General features: G+C 37.5%; 1 long non-coding RNA gene across 1 annotated transcript in view, besides 1 other annotated feature; it reads right to left on the minus strand.

The window, feature by feature from the left end:
- LOC105374020 (uncharacterized) overlaps positions 1-24,723 on the minus strand; it is a 122,436-nt gene extending 97,713 nt beyond the window's left edge. The window contains exon 1 of the long non-coding RNA XR_924301.3: positions 24,559-24,723. This is a non-coding gene — a long non-coding RNA (uncharacterized LOC105374020). The remainder of the gene's footprint in view (positions 1-24,558) is intronic.
- Positions 13,165-13,991: an enhancer, noted in NCBI's record as "NANOG-H3K27ac hESC enhancer chr3:104163960-104164786 (GRCh37/hg19 assembly coordinates)". NCBI's record gives its function as "activates a minimal SCP1, AML or CMV promoter by ChIP-STARR-seq in naive H9 embryonic stem cells {active_cell/tissue: H9 hESC(naive)}" and the evidence as "EXISTENCE:reporter gene assay evidence [ECO:0000049][PMID:30033119]".
- Positions 24,724-25,370: the final 647 nt, after the last annotated feature.

Genomic DNA, 25,370 nt, shown 5'->3' on the forward strand with positions numbered 1-25,370 from the left:
GGCTGAAATCAATGGTTCTTTTTTAAAAAACAATTTACATTAAAGTTAGCTTTTCACCCATTTTTTTGTTTCATTTGTATCTATATTTGTTTTACCTCTCTGTAAGACACTGACGTCTTTTATACATTACTTGCTATATTAAATACAATCCTTGTTTTCCTCTCAGTTTCTTTATAGCATATTCTATATGGAAGTAGTACCCACGTTAAAAAATGATTTAATTACTAATTTTCTAGTACTCTTATTGAGCTCCCAGAGGCAGCTGATGTTTGAGTTGATGTTTAGAGACCTGCATAGCATGTATATCTCATATACAAAACCTAAACTTCATACTAAAATGCCATAATGTGAGTCTTAATATCTGATCCTATGGACCTTAAAACTCCTTGATATAGCTATATCCATTTATTGACTTCCTATATCTATTTTTCCAAAATCAAGAGCACATACTGAGCCTGACTTGTATTTAATCCACAAAGTACATATTCAGTATGTATTCATTTAATTAAATAATTAATATTTTGTTTGATAGAAATTATTGATTAAATTACAAATCCTTATATTTCACACATTTCTTCTAATATTAGAATTCAAAATCATTAGGTATGTACTCTAGATTTCTTTTAATTGTAACATATTTTGTATAAGTTGTCAAAAGGAAATAACAGTCAGTAAGTTTCACAAGTATTGGAATAATTTTTTCCATTCTAAGGAGACAAAATACTTCCAAAATATCTATATTAATTTCACATATAAAATTCTCCTTTTTCCTCAGCAGTAGAGCTCACTAAACAACATAAAAAGAGATTAATTTGTGTACAAACAATTGGCTTTGTCTTGATAAATTTTCTAGATCAACTGATTCTATGTATAGCAATTTAAACAGCGAATTCTATGCTGTTTAAATTGACACAATTTCATATGCAGAAAATTGAAACTGGACCCCTTCCTTACACCTTGTGTAAAATTAACTCAAGATGGATTAAAGACTTAAATGTAAAACCCAAAACTATAAAAACCCTAGAAGAATATCTAGGCAATACCATTCAGGACACAGGCACGGGCAAAGATTTCATGATGAAAATGTCAAAAGCAATTGCAACAAAGGCAAAAATTGGCAAATGAGATCTAATGAAACTAAAAAGTTTATGCACAGCAAAAGAAATTATTATCAGATTGAACAGGCAACCTACAGAATGGGAGAAAATTTTTGCAATCTCTCCATCTGAAAAGGTCTAATATCCAGAATCTACAAGGAACTTAAACAAATTTACAAAAAAAAAAAAAAAAAAAAAAAAAAAAAAAACCATTAAAAAGTGGGCAAAGAACATGAACAGACACTTCTCAAAATAAGATATTTATGTGGCCAATAAACATATGAAAAAAACTCAACCTCTCTGATCATTAGAAAACTGCAAATGAAAACCACAATGAGATACCATCTCACACCTATCAGAATGGTGATTATTAAAAAGTCAAGAAACAACGAACACTGGTGAGGCTGTGGAGAAATGGGAATACTTTTACACTGTTGGTGGTAATGTAAATTAATTCAACCATTGTGGAAGACAGTGTGGCAATTCCTCAAAAACCTAGAACCAGAAAGACCATTTGACAAAGCAATCCCATTACTAGGTATATACTAAGAGGAATATAAATTATTCTACTATAAAGATACATGCACGTGTATGTTCATTGCAGCACTATTCGCAATAGCAAAGACATGGAATCAACCTAAATGCTTATCAATGATAGATTGGATTAAGAAAATATGCTACATATACACCATGGAATATTATCCAGCCATAAAAAGGAATGAGATCATGTTTTATACAGGGACATACATGGAGCTGGAAAGCCATCATCCTCCACAAACTAACACAGGATCAGAAAACCAAACGCTGCATGTTCTCACTTATAAGTGGGAGCTGAACAATGAGAACGCATGTACACAGGGAGGAGAACAATACACACTGGATCCTGTAAAGGGGGCAGAGTGAGGGAGAGCATCAGGATAAATAGTGAATGCGTGTGGGGCTTAATACCTACATGATGGGTTGATCAGTGCAGCAAACCACCATGGCACACATTTACCTATGTAACAAACCCGCATGTCATGCACATGTATCTCAGAACTTAAAATAAAATTAATTAATTAATTTTTAAATTGGCATGGTCTTTTCCTCTGAGCATTATTCTAAAATTGCCATACGAAAATTTGTTAGATCAGAAAATGTAGAGGATTGAGGTAAAGTCCAACAAAGTGAGCCAGCACTTGTTAGATTTCTTCCCCTTATTTCTTGAAAGTTTGCACAGTTGTGGCTAACTAAATATATATATATATATATATATATATATATATATATATATATATATATATGCTTGTGTTAATTGAAAAATATTTAAATAAATTAAAATATTTTCTTATTTAGAAAAATATTATATTGTCAGTGACATTGTTCATAACTGTCAAAAGTTGAAAATACAAAGGTCTTTATATAAATGCTGAGCGACAACAATGAAAGTCACAGGAAACAACACAAAGGAAATGTATTTTAAGTAATTTTTTTAAAATCTGATTTCCATATTTGTGCCTAGTTCCTGGTTTCACTCTAGTGCCCAGGCTAGAGTGCGGTGTTGAGCTCATAGCTCACTGCAGCCTTAAGTTCCTGGGCTCAAGTGATCCTCCTGCCTCAGCTTCCCAAGTATGTAGCAACACAGGCACTCACCACTACAACTGGCTAATTTTATTTTATTTTTTGTAGAGATGTAGTCTTGCTATGTTGCCCAGGCTGGTCTTGAACTCCTGGCCTTAAGCAATCCTACCTTGGCCTCCCAAAGCATTGGGATTGCAGGTATGAACCACTTTGCTCAGATTACTTTAAGTAATTTTTTTTCTAACCATTTTACCTTTACCTCATAAATTTAGTAACATCAATACTATCAGATATATAAATATGTTTTAAAATGTGGAATTATTTTGCAGCAAAACAAGGGTCATTAAGTTAAAACAGTTAGTCCTTTTTAAAAAAGGTGGTGTTGAAAACAATTACTGTGATAACAAATTTCAAGGACTACAAACACCTGGATAATATGTGACTTTCAGCAACGCTGCTGCTTCTTGTTGGTCAATGAACAATCACTTAACGGAAGGTTATCGGCAGTAGAAAATGAAATCTGTATTATCTCGACTTATTTAGTGACATTTAAAAAATAAGCCAATACGAATAGAATCACAAAGAATTAATGGGGAAGAATTAGTGTTAGAGCTTTGAAATTTTAAGCAAATGTGACAGATGTATCTCTCTCTCTTTTTCTTTCTCTTTTTTTCTCTCTCTCTGTATCAGTCTGTTTGTGCAGCTATGGCAAAATACCTGAGAGTGAGCAACTTATAAACAATAGAAATTTATTTCTCACAGTTCTGGAGGCTGAGAAGTTCAAGATGAAGGCCCTGGCACGTTTAGTATCTGGTGAGAAATTAGTCCTTGCTTCCAGGATTGTGCCTTAGTGTTTCATCGAAAGGCAGAAATGCAAAAGGGCCTAAGCTAATGTATCCAGGCCTCCTATAAGACACTAATCTATTCGGAAGGACATTACTTTCATGACTTGATCATCTCCTGGCCCCACCTCTTAATGCCACTACAATGGGGATTAAATTTCAACATGAATTTTGGAGGGGACCCATTCAAACCACAGCATTCTCTTTTTCTCTCTGCTTGCCCTTGCTCTCATTATTTCTCTCTCTCTCTCTCTATATATATATATATGTATAAATGTGTATATATATGTATATGTATATGTATATATAACAACTTACCTAAGCTGAAGTAAAAAAAAAAATTCTCTATCAATGTCCTTTAGTTCTGAGTGGATAGTACCAAGTATCTAGTCCATTGAATTTAGTTTTGCTATTTATTCTATGATCACTTCTTTGCATGTTAATGTATATTTTGAATTCTAATATCAAAGTTATGCTTTCAGTGTATTTGAAAATTTATCTGTTTTCCATATTCGTGCCTAGTTCCTAGTTATAATATCTTTAGATTGAAGCATATTCATAGAAATTGCAATGAAAAACTTAGAGTACATTTTTGCTTGTTAATTTTTTTTATGATTGAATCATGGAGATTGCTACCATTATATTTGCTTGGTTGGTGGCATTTTAAGAGAATAATGAAATATTTCTGGACAAATAGTTTATAAGACAGAGACTGCATAGAAAACCCCTACCTGATTCCTGATATTTAAAGTCAGTACAGAGATTCTTAACTTTCTATGCATGGACAACTAAGATCAACATGGAAAGTTTCACTGTCAACAAACTCTTTGAAATTTGAAGTTCTTTTATTCTAAAGAGAAAATTTGTGTTACCACATTTTCAAAGACCTGTGCCAAAAAATATCTAAGAATCACTACTCTAGTCACATGTTCTATCCTATCTTTTGAATCAAGTAGCTTACCAGCACTTTTAAATAATTTTAAATTATTCTTGTTATAATAGAAAAGTCTAAGTATTGCAAAAGACTGCTAGAAATTTTGCAGAGACTCTGCTTGTGTTACTTTGTTTTACTCTCTAAGGTAAAAGCCTGTAATTGGGCCCAACTTACCAAGTTACATGTAACCTAAATTTTGGAGCAGATTTAATTCCCTGACATATACCAGGGTACAGATAAGTAGTGTCAAAGAGTATAAACCCAGATGGCTAAATCCAGAATCATATGAGGCTTTACAGCACAAGAAACTAAATCTGGAAGCTTATTTATGTATGAACTTAATTACAAATACAAGAAATATTTAACCTAAACCACAGAATTTGATGGAAGTGCATTAATATAGGCTATGAGGTGGTTATGTAACTGAGAAACTCAACTAACAAAAAGAAAAAGAAAAAAAAGGGTGAGGTAATGACAGATATTCATTCAGTAAGTCTTCGATAACAGAATTTTTAGAAAAAAAATCCTTATTCTATTGGCTTAATAGATTGCTTTGTCAGAAGAATTTAAATGGGAGGTGAAAGAGCTACTCTTAAAAAATAGTTAGATCATAATGTAATAGTAGGATATACAACACACGGAGGTGAAACTGGAAGGCAAGGTGGGCAGAAGAAACATTATAAATATGCCTAAGGAAAAGGAACTTAATGAAAATTGGTAGTGGCTCTCTGGCCAGCATAGAAAAAGTTATTTTTTAAAAAGGAAGAGCTCGAGAGAAAGTTATGAATTCTCATGGGGAAAAAAATATTCCCTTCACTTGTCAGGATTAGAAGGACTATTTGATGCAAAGCCACAAGTTGAGAGCTGGCTAAGAAGTCCGTGATGACTTCATAGCTCATAAATTCTCAGAAGGCAGCAACTATAGCAGATCAGAGTACAAGCATGAAGCAATAGGCGGGTGGTGAAGAGACAGCTGCTCTTCCAGAATGTAATAGGATTTTCAGCCCCTTTCTAAGATCCATTGCCTCCTATGTGGGAAAAAAAGGAAAAAGAAGGATGCACTGATAAAAAATTGTCCAGTGCCAGCCTTAAGGAGTCCGGAGTCCATTTACTTTCTGGAATACTGAACAGACAGGGATAGTTAAATTTGCATCAAAGGCAGCATATAACCAGAAGGTTCCATAGGTGAGTGAGAGGATTCAGCCTTGCAAAGGCTGTGACTGCCCAGGAAACTGCTGTATCTTTCTGTGAAGTACAGTTAGTGCTTATTTTGGGTGAAAACTGGTGTTTACAGTGAGAGAGAATATTCCTGATTCTATTACAGTTGTAATATTGCTAAGTGTAGAAGCAAGTAAGAATTTGACAGATAGACATGAACATAGAAAGCTGAGAGACAGGATTTTGAAATCATAGGGCAATATAACTTGTTTTACTTTCTACCATACACCTAAACTACAGTGAGATTTTCCTGAAAGCTTTTATCCTAGAGAAGTCAATCTTCTATTTTAACTTCAAATAAAGAGCTGTAACAGATTTACCAACTGGGATTTCAACTTTAACGTTGTTGACATTTTAGTCAAGATAACTCTTCACTATAGGGATTCTCCTGTGCATACTAGTAGCAGGCTCTCCCCTCATTGTAGAAATGTTCCCTGCAGGACAAAACTGCCTTGATGAGAAACCCTGCATTATGCAAATGGAATTTGGCAATGGCTGGAGGCATTTTTGGTTGTCACAGCTGGAGGTTGGAGGTATGCCACAAATATCTAGTGAATAGAAGAGATTCTGCTAACTGAACAAAGAATTATCCAGTTAAACATGTAAATATTGCTGAGATCCAGAAACCCTACTTTAGCATAATAAAAGTAAAATCCTCTTCATTGAGAGTAGATCTTTGTGAGCAAGCACCTTTCTAAAAAAATATATAAAACAAACAAGCATACTTTGTGAGGTTTAGCAGAGTAAAATACTAAAAAATCAAAATTGGATTCTAATATTATCACCACATCAAAAACAAACCCTGAGAATATCAAACATAAAAAAAATATAGAAGATAAAATTATATGAAATAATAGAATTTTGTGAGGTCTCGCCTTAATTAAACAAGACTCACACAAAACTTTTCAAAATGATGCAGAAGGAGAAGATATGATTAGATTTTTCAAGTGTAAAGAAACCAAGGTGGAATTACTATTAGCTTCCATCTTCTTAGTGAACAGCTATAGGAAGTGTGGAGGGAAAAAATTTGAAAATGCAAATTCTTTTAAATGCTTGAAGTGAAAGGGTACAGCTTCTTCCTCATCCATTTCAGTGGCTCTGGAGAATATCTCTGGCACACTGCTCAATGTTATCTAAAGACATTACAGAGATTGAGTTTCCGGAAATGAGTTTTAAAAGTTTGGCAGAAATATTTTGCACTAATTTTGTGAAAATGTATACTGGGTGTGTGACAGCAAGGGAGTTATGGGATTCAGCCAACAGAGGACCCAGAAAACTGATGCTGCTTAAAACATCCCCTCCTCCCCTAAAGAATGTTGACCAGATTGTAGAGAACACAAACAATCCCTTTAAGCAGAGAGTAAATAGATTAAGAAAACAGCCAGATAGCCTAACATGCCATAAGTGACTTTTTTTCCTCCTTTCTCTTTCCCTTTTCTTCTCATGGTAGAAAAGACTAGAGAGGCTTGCAACACAAGCTGGAAGATCTACCACATCTTGCTGCTGCCCAAGACCGCCCCTTTATCTTTCTATGCAAGTTTTTACTGAATAAATCTTTGACCACCTACCAACCTGGAGAAGTCTGCCTCTTTGTTTGGTCTGAGCTTTCCTTCTACTTATTGGGGGCAGTTCTTGGTTGTGGCAGGGGGTTTTCCCAGCAACTGTGTAAACCAGAAGTATTAGGTTGGTGCAAAAGTAATTGTGGTTTTTGCCATTACTTTTAATACAAGGCACTAAATCAAGTGTTGAAATAAAAAACAGCCTAAATAACTGAACTTTGTTTCAGAATCTTTGGTCGATGACCTGATGAAAGTGACTAATTTTCAAACATATCATGAGAGGTCTGTTCTAAAAATTTCAGATGATCTGAGTTTTTTATTTATTTATTTTATTTTATTTTATTTTATTTTATTTTATTTTATGTTCCAGGATACATGTGCAAGACATGCAGATTTGTTACATAGGTAAATGTGTGCCATGGTGGTTGCTGCACTTATCAACCCATCCCCTAGGTAAGCCCCCATGCGTTAGCTATTTATCCTCATGTCTTCCTCTCCCCACAACCCCTGAGTTTTTAACTCAACTGTCAGACACTCTCTAGCTAAATATCTTCAGCAGGTTAGTCACCTTATCTGAACCACAATTCTCAAATCTGCAAAACAGTGATATAAAAACATGCCCTCCCTACTGAAATATAATTTTATTTAAACAAAATATGTAAATACAGTTGTTCCTTTGTATTTATAAGGGATTGGTTCCAAGACTCCCTCAGATAACAAAATCCTAGGATGCTCAAGTCCCTCATATAAAATGGCATAGTATGTATTTCATGCGTGTCTGTGTGAAGAGACCACCAAACAGGCTTTGTGTGAGCAACATGGCTGTTTATTTCACCTGGGTGCAGGCGGGCTGAGTCTGAAAAGAGAGTCAGCAAAGGGAGATAGGGGTGGGGCCGTTTTATAGGATTTGGGAAGGTAATGGAAAATTACAGTCAAAGGGGGTTGTTTTCTGGTGGGCAGGGGTGGGGGTCACAAGGTGCTCAGTGGGGGAGCTTCTGAGTCAGGAGAAGGAAATTCACAGGGTTAATCACTCAGTTAAGGTGGGGCAGGAACAAATCACAATGGTGGAATGTCATCAGTTAAGGCGGGGCAGGGCCTTTTCACTTCTTTTGTGATTCTTCAGTTACTTCAGGCCATCTGGGCTTATACATGCAAGTCACAGGTGATGTGATGGCTTGGCTTGGGCTCAGAGGCCTGACATTCCTGACTTCTTATATTAATAAGAAAAATAAAACAAAATAGTGTTGAAGTGTTGGGGCAGTGAAAATTTTGGGGGGTGGTATGGAGAGAGAATGGGCAATGTTTCTCAGGGCTGCTTCGAGTGGGATTAGGGGCGGCGTGGGAACCTAGAGTGGGAGAGATTAAGCTGAAGGAAGATTTTGTGGTAAGGGGTGATATTGTGGGGTTGTTAGAAGAAACATGTGTTGTATAGAATGATTGATGATGGCCTGGATACGGTTTTGTATGAATTGAAAAACTAAATGGAATAAGAGAAGGAGAAAAACAGGTATAAAAGGTCTAAGAATTGGGAGGACCTAGGGCATCTGATTAGAGAGTGCCTAAGGAGATTCAGCATAGTCCTGCCAGCAAAGATTATTTATTTACTTCAAGAGTTTAGAGTGGCAGTTTGGGGATAGCACCAGGAGATATCAGCAGCTGTGATGGCTTGGAGAAACAGTGTAAACCTGCAGTGTAAACAAGAGCAGGGCATGTATGAGTAGTTGAGAATGGTGAATAAGAGTATGACTAGACAAAAGATAGTAGGGATGACAAGTTTTTTTGGGGCACAGTCTAAGTTGGTCTGGTGTCAAATGAGACTGGGGCCTAATAAAAAGGAGCATCTATACAGGAGCTTAAATGGGCTGTACCTTGTAGCATTCTGAGGACAGGCCTGAATTCTGAGAAGCGAAAGTGGTAAAAGTATTGTCCAGTCCTTTTTAAGTTGGTGGCTGAGCTTGGTGAGGTGTGTTTTTAAAAGACCTTTAGTCCGTTCTACTTTTCTTGAAGACGGAGGACCGTAAGGGATATAAAGGTTTCACTGAATACTAAGAGCCTGAAAAACTGCTTGACTAATAAAGGCGGTCTGTTATCAGACTGTATAGAGGTGGGAAGGCTAAACTGAGGAATTATGTTTGACAGGAGGGAAGAAATGACTGTGGTGGCCTTCTTAGACCCTGTAGGAAAGGCCTTTACTTATTCAGTGAAAGTGTCTATTTAGACTAAGAGGTATTTTAGTTTCCTGACTCGGGGCATGTTGAGTAAAGCTAATTTGCCAGTCCTGGGTGGGGCAAATCCTCGAGCTTGATGTGTAGGGAAGGGAGGGGGCCTGAATAATCCCTGAGGAGTAGTAGAATAGCAGATGGAACACTGAGAAGTTATTTCCTTGAGGATAGATTTCCACGATGGAAAGGAAATGAGAGGTTCTGAGAGGCGGGCTAGTGGCTTGTACTATAGCATAGCCTGCCTTTGCTGGTGTGTGGCGATTAGGCCTGGTGGAACTGCCATCAATAAATCAAGCGTGATCAGGGTTGAGGAACAGGAAAGAAGGAAATATGGGGAAATGGGGTGAATATCAGGTGGATCAGAGAGATACAGTCATGGGCATCAGGTGTGGTATCAGGAATAATGTGAGAGGCCAGATTGAAGTCCAGGCCAGGAACAATGGTAATTGTGGGACTTAAAGCATGAGTACAGCTGAAGGAGCCGGGGAGCAGAAAGTATGTGTCAGGTATGAGGAAGAAAATAGATTTTGGAAGTTATGAGAAATGTAGAGAGTGAGTTGAGCATAGTTTGTGATTTTTAGGGCCTCTAACAGTATTAAAGCAGCAGCAGCTGCTGCACGCAGACATGAGGGCTAGGCTAAAACAGTAAGGTCAAGTTGTTTGGACAGAAAGGCTACATGGTGTGCTCCTGGCTCTTGTGTAAGAATTCTGACCACACTAACCATGCCTAGGAAGGAAAGGAGTTGTTCTTTTATAAGGGATTGAGGTTTGGGAGATTAATCGGACACGATCAGCAGGGAGAGCACATGTGTTTTTATGAGAATTATGCTGAGATAGGTAACGGATGAGGATGAAATTTGGGCTTGACTGAAGTAATAGGGGCTGTCTGTGAAGCCTTGCGGCAGTACAGCCCAGGTAATTTGCTGAGCCTAATGGGTGTCAGGGTCAGTCTAAGTAAAGGCAAAGAGAGGCTGGGATGAAGGGTGCAGAGGAATAGTAAAGAAAGCATGTTTGAGATCCAGAACAGAATAATGGGTAGTAGAGGGAGGTATTGAGGATAGGAGAGTATATGGGTTTGGCACCATGGGGTGGCTAGGCAAAACAATTTGGTTGATAAGGCGCAGATCCTGAACTAACTTGTAAGGCTTCTCTGGTTTTAGGACAGGTAAAATGGGGGAATTGTAAGGAGAGTTTATAGGTTTTAAAAGGCCATGCTGTAGCAGGCAAATGATAACAGGCTTTAATCTTTTTAAAGCATGCTGCGGGATGGGATATTGGCGTTGAGTGGGGTAAGGGTGATTAGGTTTTAATGAGATGGTAAGGGGTGCATGATCGGTCACCAAGGAGGGAGTAGAGGTATCTTATACTTGTGGGTTAAGGTGGGGGGATACAAGAGGAGGACGCAAAGGAGGCTTTGGACTGGGAAGAAGGGTGGCAATGAGATATAGCTGTAGTCCAGGAATAGTCAGGGAAGCAGATAATTTAGTTAAAGTGTCTCAGCCTAATAAGGGAACTGGGCAGGTGGGGATAACTAAAAAGGATTGCTTAAAAGAGTATTGTCTAAGTTGGCACCAGAGTTGGGGAGTTTTAAGAGGTTTAGAAGCCTGGCCATCAATACACATAACAGTTATGGAGGCAAGGGAAACAGGCCCTTGAAAAGAAGGTAATGTGGAGTGGGTAGCCTCCGTATTGATTAAGAAGAGGACAGGCTTACCTTCCACTGTGAGAGTTACCCGAAGCTCGGCGTCCGTGATGGTCTAGGGGGCTCACGAGGCGATCGGGCAGTGTCAGTCTTCAGCTGCTAAGCCGAGAAGATCTGGGAAGGAGTCAGTCAGAGGGCCTTGGGCCATTGTTCCAGGGGCTCTGGGAGTGGCTGCCAGGTGAGTTGAACAGTCCAATTTTCAGTGGGGTCCCACACAGATGGGACGCGGCTTAGGAGGAATCCTGGGCTGCGGGCATTCCTTGGCTCAGTGGCCAGCTTTCCGGCACGTGTAGCAAGCTCTTGGGGGAGGAGGTTCTGGAGGAACGCCTGGCTGCTGCGGATCAGGCGTTTGGAAGTTCTTGTGTGCTGGAGATTTGGCTGGGGTTTGTCTCACAGTGGAGGCCAGGAATTGCAACTTTTTTCTGTTATTGTACACCTTGAAGGTGAGGTTAATTAAGTCCTGTTGTGGGGTTTGAGGGCCAGATTCCAATTTTTGGAGTTTTATTTAATGTCAGGAGCAGATTGGGTAATAAAATGTATATTGAGAATAAGACGGCCTTTTGACATTTTAGGGTCTAGGGCTGTAAAGCGTCTCAGGGTTGCTGCCAAACGAGCCATGAACTGGGCTGGATTTTTATATTTGATGAAAAAGAGCCTAAACGCTTCTGATTTGGGATAAAGAAAAAGGAGCATTAACCTTGACTAAGCCTTTGGCTCCAGCCACCTTTTTAAGAGGAAATTGCTGGGCAGGTGGAGGAGGGCTAGTCACGGAACGAAACTGTAAGTCGGACCAGGTGTGAGGAGGGGAGGTGATAAAAAGATTATAGGGTGGAGGAGCAGAGGCTGAGGAAGAATTGGGACCTAGCTTCGCCTGGCGAGGAGCAGCCTGGGGAGGAAGGGAGAGGTCAGATGGGTCTGTAGAAAAGGAAGATTAGAAAGACTCAGTGACGCTTGGCGTTGGTACTGAGGGGACAGGCAGGAGGGAAAGAAGGAAGATTTGGGACGAGTCGCACTGGGCACAGAGACTAGGAAGGGACTGATGTGTAAAAGAATCTGGACGTCAGGCACCTCAGACTGTTTGCCTATTTTATGACAAGAATTATTTAGATTTTGCAGGATGGAAAAATTCAAAGTGTCATTTTCTGGCTATTTGGAACTACTGTCAAGTTTGTATTGGGGTCAAGCGGCATTGCAGAAGAAAATCAGGCATTTAGGTTTTAGGTCAGGTGTGAGTTGAAGAGGTTTTAAATTTTTGAGAACACAGGCCAAGGGAGTAGAAGGAGGAATGGAGGGTGGAAGTTTGCTCATAGTGAAAGAAGCAAGCCTAGAGAAAAGAGAGAGTAGAGAAATGGAGAGAAGGGGTTCGGGGGTTCTTACCTTCCAGAAAAGTGGGAAAAGGGGTTGGGGCACAGAGATAAGAGGTCGGGGTGTGGAAATAAGGGATTGGGGCACAGAGATATAAGAGGTTGGGGAGCGGAAATAAGGGATTGGGGTGCAGAGATACGAGGTTGGGGCATGGAAATAAGAGATTGGGACACAGAGATAAGAGGTCGGGTTGCGGAAATAACGGATTGGGGCACAGAGATAAGAGGTTGGGGTGTGGAAATAAGTGATTGGGGCACAGAGATAAGAGGTTGGGGTGCAGAAACAAGGGATTGGGGGTTCTTGCCCCATAGAAAAGCGGGACTTGCCGCTAAGGGTGAAGGAGAAGGGGTTGAGGGGTACTTGCCCCTCTCCCAGAAAAGCAGAGAAGGAGGAGAGACAAAGAGAAGGGGTTGAGGTACTTGCCCCTTCCCCAGAAAAGCGGGACTTGCCGCTAAGGGTGAAGGACCAAGGCAGGCGTCCCTGCATGGTCTGACACCCTTGAAACGCGGGTGTATAATCAGAGAGGCATCCCTGCAATGATTAAACACCAAGGGAAGGCTGCCTTCCCAGTCCGTGACCGGCGCCGGAGTTTTGGGTCCACAGATAAAATGTGTCTCCTTTGTCTCTCCCAGAAAATGAAAGGAATTGAAATTAAGAGAAGGGAGAGATTGAAGAGTGGAAAGGAGAAAGTGGTTGAGGGACAGTGAGAGAGGTTGGAGAAGAGAGTAAGAAGAGGCCGCTTACCCAATTTAAAATTGGTGAGATGTTCCTTACGCTGGTGGGTCTGAGGACCCGAGGTCATAGGTGGGTCTTTTTCACGGAGCAAAGAGCAGGAGGACAGGGGATTGATCTCCCAAGGGAGGTCCCCCGATCTGAGTCACGGCACCAAATTTCATATGTATCCGTGTGAAAAGACCACCAAACAGGCTTTGTGTGAGCAACATGGCTGTTTATTTCACCTGGGAGCAGGCGGGCTGAGTCCGAAAAGAGAGTCAGGGAAGGGGAGATAGGGGTGGGGCCGTTTTATAGGATTTGGGAAGGTAATGGAAAATTACAGTCAAAGGGGATTGTTTTCTGGTGGGCAGGGGTGGGGGTCACAAGGTGCTCAGTGGGGGAGCTTCTGAGTCAGGAGAAGGAAATTCACAGGGTTAATCACTCAGTTAAGGTGGGGCAGGAACAAATCACAATGGTGGAATGTCATCAGTTAAGGCGGGGCAGGGCCTTTTCACTTCTTTTGTGATTCTTCAGTTACTTCAGGCCATCTGGGCTTATACATGCAAGTCACAGGTGATGCGATGGCTTGGCTTGGGCTCAGAGGCCTGACAATGTACATATAACCTACACAATTTCCCCTGCACAATTTAAATCAACCCTAAATTACTTAAAATACATAATGTAATATAAATTCTATGTAAGTAGTTGTTATATTCTATTACATTACAACAAAATATTTTTGCTATATTTTGCAAAAAAAATCAATTTCATAATTTTAGGGATAAATTTTAAGAAAATTTTAGCCTAAATAATTAATTAAATAAATGTATAAATGTAATGTCATAAGTTACATTTTTACATAGCTTGTTCCTGGATGGAACATATACAAAATGTCAATTTACGTGCTCCCTTTTTCTATTAAAATTCTGCAGGCAAATTTTGTTTTTCTAGTGTCATTTCATTCACTAAGCCTGAAGAAAGTATTTCACCTGTGCCTAAGCACTATCTTAGACCTGATGTACTTTCGTTGTGGGCCTGTTTCTCCCACATTTTCACTATTGTACAGGATTAGCTCATGTTAGAGAATTCCTTATATAACATCTAACATTTAAAACAATCTTATCTTGAATATTCTTCAGTATTCCTCATGTAGGAGACCCATTGAAAGGGATTGCAATTTACATTTTGTTAACACCAAGTTTCATTTGCATTTCTACTCCTTAGCCCAATTTTTCTTGCTATATTCACTCTACCTAGCATCTCCACATATACTGTCTTATATCCTACAATTGTCAGTAAACATTGACCAACTGATATCGTACTACTATGAAAAGAATTGTATTAGCCCATTCTCACGCTGCTATTCATAATAAAGACATACCCAAGACTGAATAATTTATAAAGGAAAGAGGTGTAATTGACTCACAGCTCAACATGGCTGGAGAGGCCTCAGGAAACTTACAATCACAGGGGAAGAGAAAGCAAACATGTCCTTCTTCACATGGTAGCAGTAAGGAGAAGTGTGGAGCAAAAGGGGGAAAACCATCGTAGCTCATGAGAACTCACTCACTATCATGAGAACAGCATGAGGGTAAACACTCCCATGATTAAATTAACTCCCACCAGGTCCCTCTCATGACACATGAGAATTATGGAAACTACAGTTCAAGATGAAATTTGGGTAGGAACACAGCCAAACCATATCAAGAGTCTAAAAGTTGCTCAATTTATGATAAATTATTAATATAGTCCTGAAGTTAGCCTCATGAGTAAAACTACACACTGACCACTGCAAAGGAAAATAATTTGAACAACTTAGTCCTAAGTAAATAGAAGTAAGTAGGATACAGTTTGTATTAAAATGATTTTATGATTATATCACTACTGGTTAAAAATTAATGCAGGGTCTTATACAATTTCAAAGTTTCAAATTACTCTACAGGTTATATATTTTAGGAGCTTAAGGGCTGAACATTGTTAAATGAAATATACATGACTTCAAAAAAATGTAAGAATACAATTGCTTCTTTGCAGCCTCTTTTCCTAATCTCTGAGTATATTTCTTTTCCTTAAAAGGTCTTATTTAAAGAAATCGGTTCAAAATACAATAGAACTTAAAACATATCTTAAAGATCAAATAATTCTTCCAGTTATTTTATAGATGACAAAAATGATGCCCAGCTAGCTCCAAATCAAGGGTTAAACCTATCTTCTAACTTTGTCTATGGCATTTTTTTTTTCCATTTTATTATCCTGTTTTCTTTGTCTTTGGTGACAATATGTTAATTGATTCTTTTTAAGTATTTATGACTGAAAACTATCTTGAAAACAGGAGCTTAATTGGTAGTACCACAAATAAATTCTTGGGCAATATTTTATGAAATAGCAACCATGATTATATGTGACCTTAACTTCCACAGACTTTTGCCCCTTTCCCAAAGTCATATTCAGATTCCATGTCCACATATTAATTAAAGTGGATTTTACATAAACCTTGCTGGTTGTTGCAGGTTTCTTCTTGTTTCCCCGACTTTGATATGCTTATTTTACATAATGTTATCTAACGCCACTAGTAAGAAAATGAAAAAAGATAAAAAGTAAATAAATCTCCTCGAAGAACTAGGGAGATTCTTTGTAGAAAGGCAGCTTGCTTTCTTCTGAGTAAGACTGGGAGGAAACAGAACCTGATAAAGCTTACATTAAATGAGGTACAGACAATGATTCTCAGCTGTGACTGGGCAAGAGAGCAATGTAGAAAATAGGAATTTGTCGCTAGACAAACTAATCGCTAAACCCCAAGGCTCTTACTTTGTGTAGGATAGGCTAAAAGAGATTTGAAGAAGATAACAGCCTGGCATTGTGATACATGTGTTATAAATAGAAGGATAATTATGGGAGAGAGAAAACTCCTGAACCAATAGAACAATGCAAAAGACCACACTGTGAAAAATCAGTGATTGATATCTTTGGTTAAATTTGAAGTAAAATAAAACCTCAGAATATTAGATGAGGGAGAGGGATTTTGTTTAAAGAGCCAAAGACTGTACTTTATAATGCTTTTGATTAAAACTATTTGCCATCAGTTGAAGAAGGGTAGTGGCAATGGGAAAGCTGACAGATTGTCAAAGATTGTATTTTCTCATTAAAGGATGTTCGCCAAACGTACTGCGGAGTAACCTGGGAGATATTATCTTTGGCAAAAGCACCAATTATTTGAGGATTGTGCAGTTACTGGTTTAGATTTTCTTTTTAAAGAGGGGAGAAATATAAAGATGAGAGTAACATAAAGATGAGAGTAATTCATAGTTTATTTTGGGGATCTGGGGTTATTATCATGATTTGTGGTGAACGGGTTTTAAGGGGGCCTGCATAATATTCTCCTCTTCATGTTTACATGCTTGTACAGTACCCTCACCTTTAGTGTGAGTGAAATCTGTGAAATGCTTCTAATCAATAAAATACTACAGAGATGATAAAATGTGGATCTTTTAAGCACATTACATTATAGAAGATTTCATCTTGGAAGACTTACTGAATCCCCTTCTGGTTCTGAAGAGGCCATGTTGTAAGAGGGCCTATAGAGAGGTTCACATGGCAAGTAAATGTGTATGGTCTCTAGAAACTAAGATGACCTATGCCTGGTAGCCAGCAAGAAACCAGGGACTTCAGTAATACTACCATAAGAAAATGAACTCAGTCATCAATCTTAGTGAGCTTGGAAGTAGACCCATTGCCAGTCAAACCTCCTGGTGAGAGTAAGCCCTGGCCAGTATCTTGATTCCAGTCTTGCAGAGGACCCAGTTAAGCTATCCCTAGACTCCTAGTTCAGCCAAACTGTGAGATAAAGATGTGTGTTATTTTAAGATACTAACTGTGGGGTAAATTGTTACTTAGCATAAAATTTAGTATATTGTAAAAGAACAATGGGAGAGAATGGACAGTTTCTTAGGTCTGCAAAATGGGAATTATTACAAATTGAACTATGCTAAGTGTATGCTTATTAATAATTCTGCAAAGTGATCTTAAAAGATAAATTATTTGTATTTTATTAATAAGTATACTGATACATAGAGATATTAATAAGCTTACCTAACTCATCTAAAATTAATAAAGGACTGCCAAATAATATTTATCCTATCAGTGCCATGTCCTGCCTAATGTTTTCACAGCATGGACCTTTATAACTGGAATACCCATTCTTCCACTCATAGCCACCACTGCCCCAGGCCAGTTCCCATAACACCATGATCCAGGCCATTCTCTGAAGATTCAGGCTTCAGGTCAGCCATAGCCTTAGACCAGCCCCAACAGACCTAGTCTCCAGAGTGGCCCCTGGGTACGCAGGCTCCAGGTCTTCCCTCGTGCCAGGCCAGCTCAAGGCTCACTCTAGTCTGGCCTTTGTGGTCCTATGCTCCAATCCCAACTAAGTGCCAGAATGGACCCCAGAGACCCAGCCTCCAAACCTGCTCCAGCTCTAGGCTGGCCCTCAGGGACCCAGGCTCTAAACCAGCTATATTAGGGTTCTGCAGAGGGACAGAACTAATAGGATATATGTGTACATCAAAGGGAGTTCATTAAGGAGAATTGGCTCACAGGATCACAAGGTGAAGTCCCATCATAGGTCACCTGCAAGCTGAGAAAGGAAGAAGCTAGTAGTGGCGCAGTCTGAGTCCAAAAGCCTCAAAAGCAGAGAAGCTGACAGCACAGCCTGAGGTCTGTGGCCAAAGTCCAAAAAGCCCCCAGCAAAACACTGATGTAAGTCCAAGAGTCCAAAGGATGAAGAATCTGGATTCTGATGTCCAAGGGCAGGATGAATGGATGGAAGTATCCAGCACAGAAGACAAATGAAAGCCAGAAGACTCAACAAGCCAGTTTATCCCAAATTCTTCCACCTGCTTTGTTCTAGCCATGCTGACAGCAGATTGGATGGTGTCCATTCACATTGAGGATGGGTCTTCCTCTCCCAGTCCACTGATTCAAATATTAACCTCATTTGGAAACACCTTCAGTCACACCCAGAAACAATACTTTACCAGCTATCTAGACATCCTTCAATCCAATCAAGCTGAAATCTACTATTAACCATCACAAGTCCACCCCTAGTCAACTTGAACCCATACACATCGCCTGAAATCATACTTAATCTCCAAATGAAGACAATAGTAAGGTCATAATTATACCTAACATAATACAATTATCCTTCATACAACCGGAAGCTGAGTAATTATTAACCTAAACCCTATTATTACACAAAGTTAACAACACTTAAGTGCTTACATGAAGTCAATAAATCTTATGTCACACAATAAAGGAAAAAGAAAAGAAAATGATGATATTTTCTTAGTTCAAGTGCATACATGCACAAACATATTCTTAACAAAATAAAGAGGAAATATTCATGATAATTACAGTCCTCATTTCTGGAAGATCACATGGTCCTAGCTGGCATTGATAACTACCTTCTTCTATTACCCATTCTGTATTCCTTTGGCCTTCAGCAAGCACTTTGGCTAGTCAAAGATTTTCACCTGGTGGAGTGACCCAAACCTTCATTCCTGAAGGGTCTGGGACATTTGTAGTTTTGCCTGGATTGAGTTGTAGTTTCCCATTGACCTTAATCACAGGGCATGGTAACACTAAGAGATGCCCTAAGGGATCGCCTGTATTCAACACGTACTCCTCCTTACCTTTGTTGTGGAGTGGTAGACTGATTTCATCTTGATAATCTGGGTAAATCACCCCAGCCAACACTGTAACTCCCTTCTTAGCCTGTTGACTTAGAGGCAGCAGGAGCCCAAAGTGGCCAGGTGGCAATCTTAACTTCCAGCTTAATGGAATCATTGTGTGTCCTGGTGGCAGTATTTCTCTCTCTGAACATTGTCTCTGTTTGCAGATGACAGATTTTATATATATATATATATATATATATATATCTCCTAAAAAACACCACTGACATTTGTTAAAAATGATAATTTAGTAAAATTGCAGGATAAAAAATCAACATGCAAAAGTCAGCTGCATTTCTATACACGAATGATGAATTATCTGAAGAAGAAATCAATAAAACAATCCCATTTACAATAGCTATAAAGATGGAATAAGATACTTAGGATAAATTTAACCAATGAGTTGAAGGATCTATACACTGACAACTAAAAGACAATGATGAAAGAAATTAAAGAAGACAAAAATACATGAAAAAAAATCCAGTTTTCATGGATTAGAAGAATTAATAATGTTAAAATGTCAATGACCAAAGTAATCTACAGATTCAATGCAATCTCTTTCAAAATTCCAATATCATTTTTTACTAAAATAGCAAAAACAATCCTGAAATTCATATGGAACTATAAAAGACCTCAAGTAGTCAAAGCTGGAGGCCTCACACTACCTGATTTCAAAATATACGACAAAATGAAAGCACTCAAGACATTATGGTAGTGGCATTACAACAGACAGGTAGTCCAATGGAACAGAAGACAGTCCATGCATTTATAATCAATCGATTTTATACAAAAGTGCCAAGAACACACAATGGAAAAATGACATTTTCTTCAATAAATGTTGTAGGAAAAACTAGATATCCACATACAAATGAATAAAATTGAACTCTCATGTCACACCACATACAAAAATGAACCCAAAATGAATTAAATACTTACACATGAGATGTGAAATTACAACAGAAAAAAAAAGTGGAAAAAAGCTTCTTGACATTTGTCTGGACAATGATATTTTCTACATGTAACCACTAATACACAGGCAGAAAAATTCCCAAAATAGACAAATGGAATTACGTCAAGCTAAAAAGCTCCTGAACAGCAAAGGAAACAATCAACAGACTGAAGAGACAATTTTTGGAATGGGAAATAATACTTGCAATACATATACCTAAGAAGAGGTAATAGCCAAAATTTATAAGGAGTTCAAACATTTCAATAGCAAAAAAATAAATAAATAATATTATTTATAAATGGACAAAAGCTGGATGGCAGCATCTCATGCCTGTAGTCCCAATGCTTTGGCAGGCCAAAGCAGGAGGATCACTTGAGGCCAGGAGTCCAAGACCACCTGGGGCAACATACTAAGACTCCTGTCTCTATAAAAAAATGAAAACAAAAAACAAATTAGCTGACATGGTGGTGCACACCTACAGTCCTAGCTATTTGGGAAGCAAAGGCAGGAGGATTGTTTGAGCCTAGCTCAATGTTACAGTAATCTATGAACACATATAAATGGCCAATAAGTATATGAGAAACCACTCATTCACATCACTAATTATTAGGGAAATGCGAATTAAAACCAGAATGAGATGTGTCACCTCACTTCTGTTACAATAGGCATTATCAAAAAGATACACTATAACTGTTGGCAAGGATGAAGAGAAAAGAAAATTCTGTATTCTATTGGCAGGAATATAAAAAAGATAAAAAATGTACTGAAAAGGATTATAATCCTGTGGGATAAGGCAGGTGAAAGGGTCACCAAACTTTAATCCAATCTGAAGAACACATATTTTCAAAATTTAAAAATAAACAAAATCTCAATGAGCTACGGAAAAATATCTAACAGTCTATCTGACACACTTAACATCGAAAGTTGCAAGAAGAGAAGCATAAAAACTGGACAAAACAAAAAGACCAAATAAAATAAACAGTGAAAGACCAAATATTTTTATTACAATTTGTTGAAACATGATAAAAGGGGCCCAGTGCAGTGACTCATACCTGTAATTCCAGCACTTTGGCAGGCAGATCACTTGAGGTAGGAGTTCTAGACCAGCCTGGCCAACATGGTGAAACCCCATCTCTACTACAAATACAAAAAATAAAAATACAAATAAAACAAAAAAATTAGCCCGGCATGGTGGCCCACTCCTGTAGTCCTAGCTACTCGGGAGGCTGAGGAATGAGAATTGCTTGAACCCAGGAACCAGAGGCTGCAGTGAGCCGAGATTGCATCACTGCACTCCAACTTAAGGGACAGAGTGAGACTGTGTCTTAAAGAAAGAAACATGAAAAATAATAAAAGGTACAGATTCAAGAAACTCAATGAATCTCAAACTGCCAAATACATAGATTTCACAATGAGGCACAAGTAGTTGTATTACTAAAATAGTCAATTACTGAACATGAAAAAAATGGAGGGGATCTTGAAAATAACTAGACAGAAAATTATGATAATATAAACTACAAGGAACTTCTACTGGGAACAAGGATGGCCAGAACATAATGAAATTACATCTTTAAAAGGCTAAGAGAAAAAATAGAAACTGTCAACTCAGAACTTTATACTTAAAAAAAATCTTTTGCCAAAAATTCTTCTACAATTAGCATTGAAGGATGTTCTTTGTTCTGTCAAAATTGACAACATATTGAAAATAGTATCTACAAGAAGACATTGGTGACACTGAAATAGTAAATATGTAGGTGAATACAGAAGATGATAAATTGATTCTGTTAATTCTGTTGAAAGACTGATGACAACATAAAGCAAACATTATAACAATGTATTATTATATTAATGCCAAAAGCACAGACTTTAAGGGAGTTGAATTGAAATAAAAAGTTATATGTTTGTTATATCTTGCATAATACACAAAATATTTTCTAAATAGGCTATGATAGAGACTCACAATATAAGACGTCAGAAACAAAATAATAAGATAAAATGAAAAAAGATATACCTAAAAGGCTAAGTGATTCATACAAAACAATACAAAAGTCAAATAATTTTAAAGAGAAAGTAAAGAAAAAAGTTTTTTTAAAAAATCAATCAAAATAGATGAGAAATAGAAGATTTCTAATAACATGATAGAGTTAAGTTTAATCATTTTGAAATTGCATAAACTGTAATCAATGAACACTAACACTTAAGAACAAAGATATTCAAACTGAGTTTTTTTAAAAAATGAACAAATTAAAGGCCTGTAAGACATGCATTTTAAATAAAAGTTAAAATAGATTAAAAGGATGATGAAGTAGATTTCATAATAGCAAAAGTATATGAAAATGAAAGTGGCTATATTAATATCAGGCAAAACAGCTTTTAGGTCAAGAAGAATTACTGACACGAAATACTGACAATGAGGTATCTTACTTACGATTAAAGTCTAAATTCATCAAAAAGACATAATCATAAATGTGTATATAACCAATAATAAAGTTGCAAAAGATATGATGCATTTAATTCTGTTAAAGGAGAAAAAGACAAATCAACGATGATAGTTGGATTATTAAATACTTTTCTCTACAAAGTTGATAGCTACTAAAGAAAAAAGAAAAGATATAAAAAAATGGACAACGTCAATCTCCTTGACGAAGTTGACATTTAGAACATTAAAGTCACTAAGAATAACCATTTTTTCCAGTATATATGGAATATACACCAAAAAAGACCTTATCCTGGACCATAGATACATTTTAACAAATTCCCAAAGATTTATATTTTCAGAGACTGTTTTCTGAATAATAATAATAAATTAGAAGTAAAAAAAATTGGAAAATTCCTAATTATTTGGAACTTAAACATCATGTTTGTAAATATCCCTGAGTGAAAATAGGTCTAACAAAAAATCTACTAAAATAAGTCTAATAAATAAATTTAGAACATATTTTGAATTAACTGATAATGAGAATATACCAGTGATAATTTGAGATGAAACCAAAGCAGTTCTTAGAAAAAAATTAATAACTTTAAAAATCCTGGCAAGTCAGAGTGGCTCATGCCTGTAATCCCAATGCTTTAGGAGGCTGAGATGGGAGGATTGCTTGAGCCCAGGAGTTTGAGACCAGCCTGGGCTATATGGTGAGACCCTGTCTTTATGAAAAATTTAAAAAATTAAAAAATTGCCCAGACATGGTGGTGCACAACTGTAGTCCATGCTACTCAGGAGGCTGAGGTGGGAAGATCTCTTGAGCTCAGGAGGTAGAGAATACAATGAGCCATCATTGTGCCACTGTACTCCAGCCTGGATGACAGAGTGAGACCATGTCTCAAAACAAAAACAAAAACAAAAAAAACAAAATAAAAATCCTTAGAGAAAACAAACTTAAAAATTAGTGATCTGATTTTCCACCACGTGAATCTAGAAAAATGTCAAAATAAGCTTGAAAAAATAGAAAGGATATAATGCAATAAAAGCAGAAATTAATGAAAAAGAAAACAAAAAATATAAAAAATCATCAAAGTTCTACATTTCCCTTATCAGAGATTTATAAACCAATGATACCCTACTTAGATGATCAACAAAAAAGGAATAAAGAACACACATTAATATTAGGAATAAAAGATGGAACATTCAACAGATATTAAAAGGATAAAAGGAAAATGTCAAATAATTTTATGACAATAAGTTCAGCAAATTAGATAAAATGAAGAATTTCTTTGGGGAACAACTCACTAAAACTTATATTAAAAGTAGTAGTATATCTTAATAGCCCTACATTTATTAAATAATTAATTGTTAAAAAGTTCACCAAAGAGAAAATTCAAGACCCAGATGATTTTGCTGGTGAATTTCATCCTATATTTAAATACAAAATTTTATAATTCTTACACAAAATAGATGAGGAGGAGATAGATTTCACTTATTTTATGAGACACCAACAGCTAACAAGTACATTATAAGAATGTCCTGAATCATACTCTTAATGATTAGAGACACAACATCATTTTAAAACTAGTTAATAAAGGCTGGGCTCATGCCTGTAATCCTAGCACTTTGCAAGGCTGAGGTAGAAGGATCACTTGAGCGCAGAAGTTCGGGATCAGCCTGAGTGAAACAGTGAGACCCTGTCTCTACAAAAAATGTAAAAGCCAGATGTGCTGGCATGTGCCTATAGTCCCAACTACCAGGGAGACTGAGAGGGGAGGATTGCTTGGGCCAAGGAGGTCGAGCCTGCAGCGAGCTGTGATCACACCACAGCACTTCAAACTGGGCAATAGAAAGAGATCCTGCCTAAAAAAAAATTAATCAAATACAGAGCTATCTTTTAAAAAGACAATATATCATAAATGCAAAAGTTGTTTATTGTTTTTAAAAAATTAATGCAATTTATTGTGTTAGCCATAGAAAGTAGAAAAATATTTGATTATCTCAATACATAAATAAAAAGTACTTGCAAGAGAGACTTGAGGGAATAAGGCCTGAAGAACTGGGTGTCTCTGCACAGTATCCATTATAGTCTTTCAGGTGCACTGCAGAGATTCACTTGCTTAGCACAAACTCTAGGAGCATCTGGTCTTGATGCCACAAATTATATGGATTCTCTCCTTTGTCTGTTATTCATTCTAGATTCCTTTTACTCTCAACTAGTGTCTCTATATTGATACTAAAGGTTTACCTGCTAGAGTAACCCAGAGTCTTGTCCTGAAGTAGTCCAAATTCCTGGTCACCATGCTCTGACTGGATTGTGGCAGCTGCATTTAATCTGTTCGCCATCAAATCTGGGAAAGGGATATAATCGTGTTTTCAATTAGCTTACCTGGATGACAAATATATTCCTGCCTTATCTTCTTTATAACAGCAGAACTACTTCCTTCACATGAACAGGGTAATTTATATTTGCCAGGATAGTGACTCCTTTACTTCTTCCCCCTTGACATGCAGAGGCCAAAGTGTTCAGGCAGTAGGCCTAGTTCTATAGCTGTCCCCATAAGAGGGATCATGTAGTATTTGTCTTTCTGTGACTGACTTATTTCTGTTAGCATAATGTCTTTCATGTCCATCTATGTTGCCATATATGGTAGGATTTCAACTAAAATAGTCAAAGGTAGAGGACAGAATGATGGTTAGCAAGGGATGGAGAGGGGAAGGTATGAGGAATCATTGTTCAATGACTATAAAGTTACAGTTACCCAAGAGGAGTGATTTCCCGAGCTCTTCTGTACAACATAGTGCCTATAGTTAACAATAAGGTATTGTGAACTTAAAAATTTGTTAAGATGATAGATTTCATGTTAAGTGTTCTTACTATTGTTGGTGCGCCAGTTCAGGTTCTTGACTTTGCAGCACAAAAGAATATGAGAGTGAGTTCAAAGTAGGAGTAGGCCAAGTAATTTATCACAAAGCAAAAGTACACTCTGAGAGGCAGAGCAAGTTTCTCAGAGGGAGAGACAGCAGCTAGACCCTTAAGAGGAATTTCTTTTATGGGAG

Source organism: Homo sapiens, chromosome 3 (assembly GCF_000001405.40).
Source record: "Homo sapiens chromosome 3, GRCh38.p14 Primary Assembly".
Classification (NCBI taxonomy): Eukaryota; Metazoa; Chordata; class Mammalia; order Primates; family Hominidae; genus Homo; species Homo sapiens.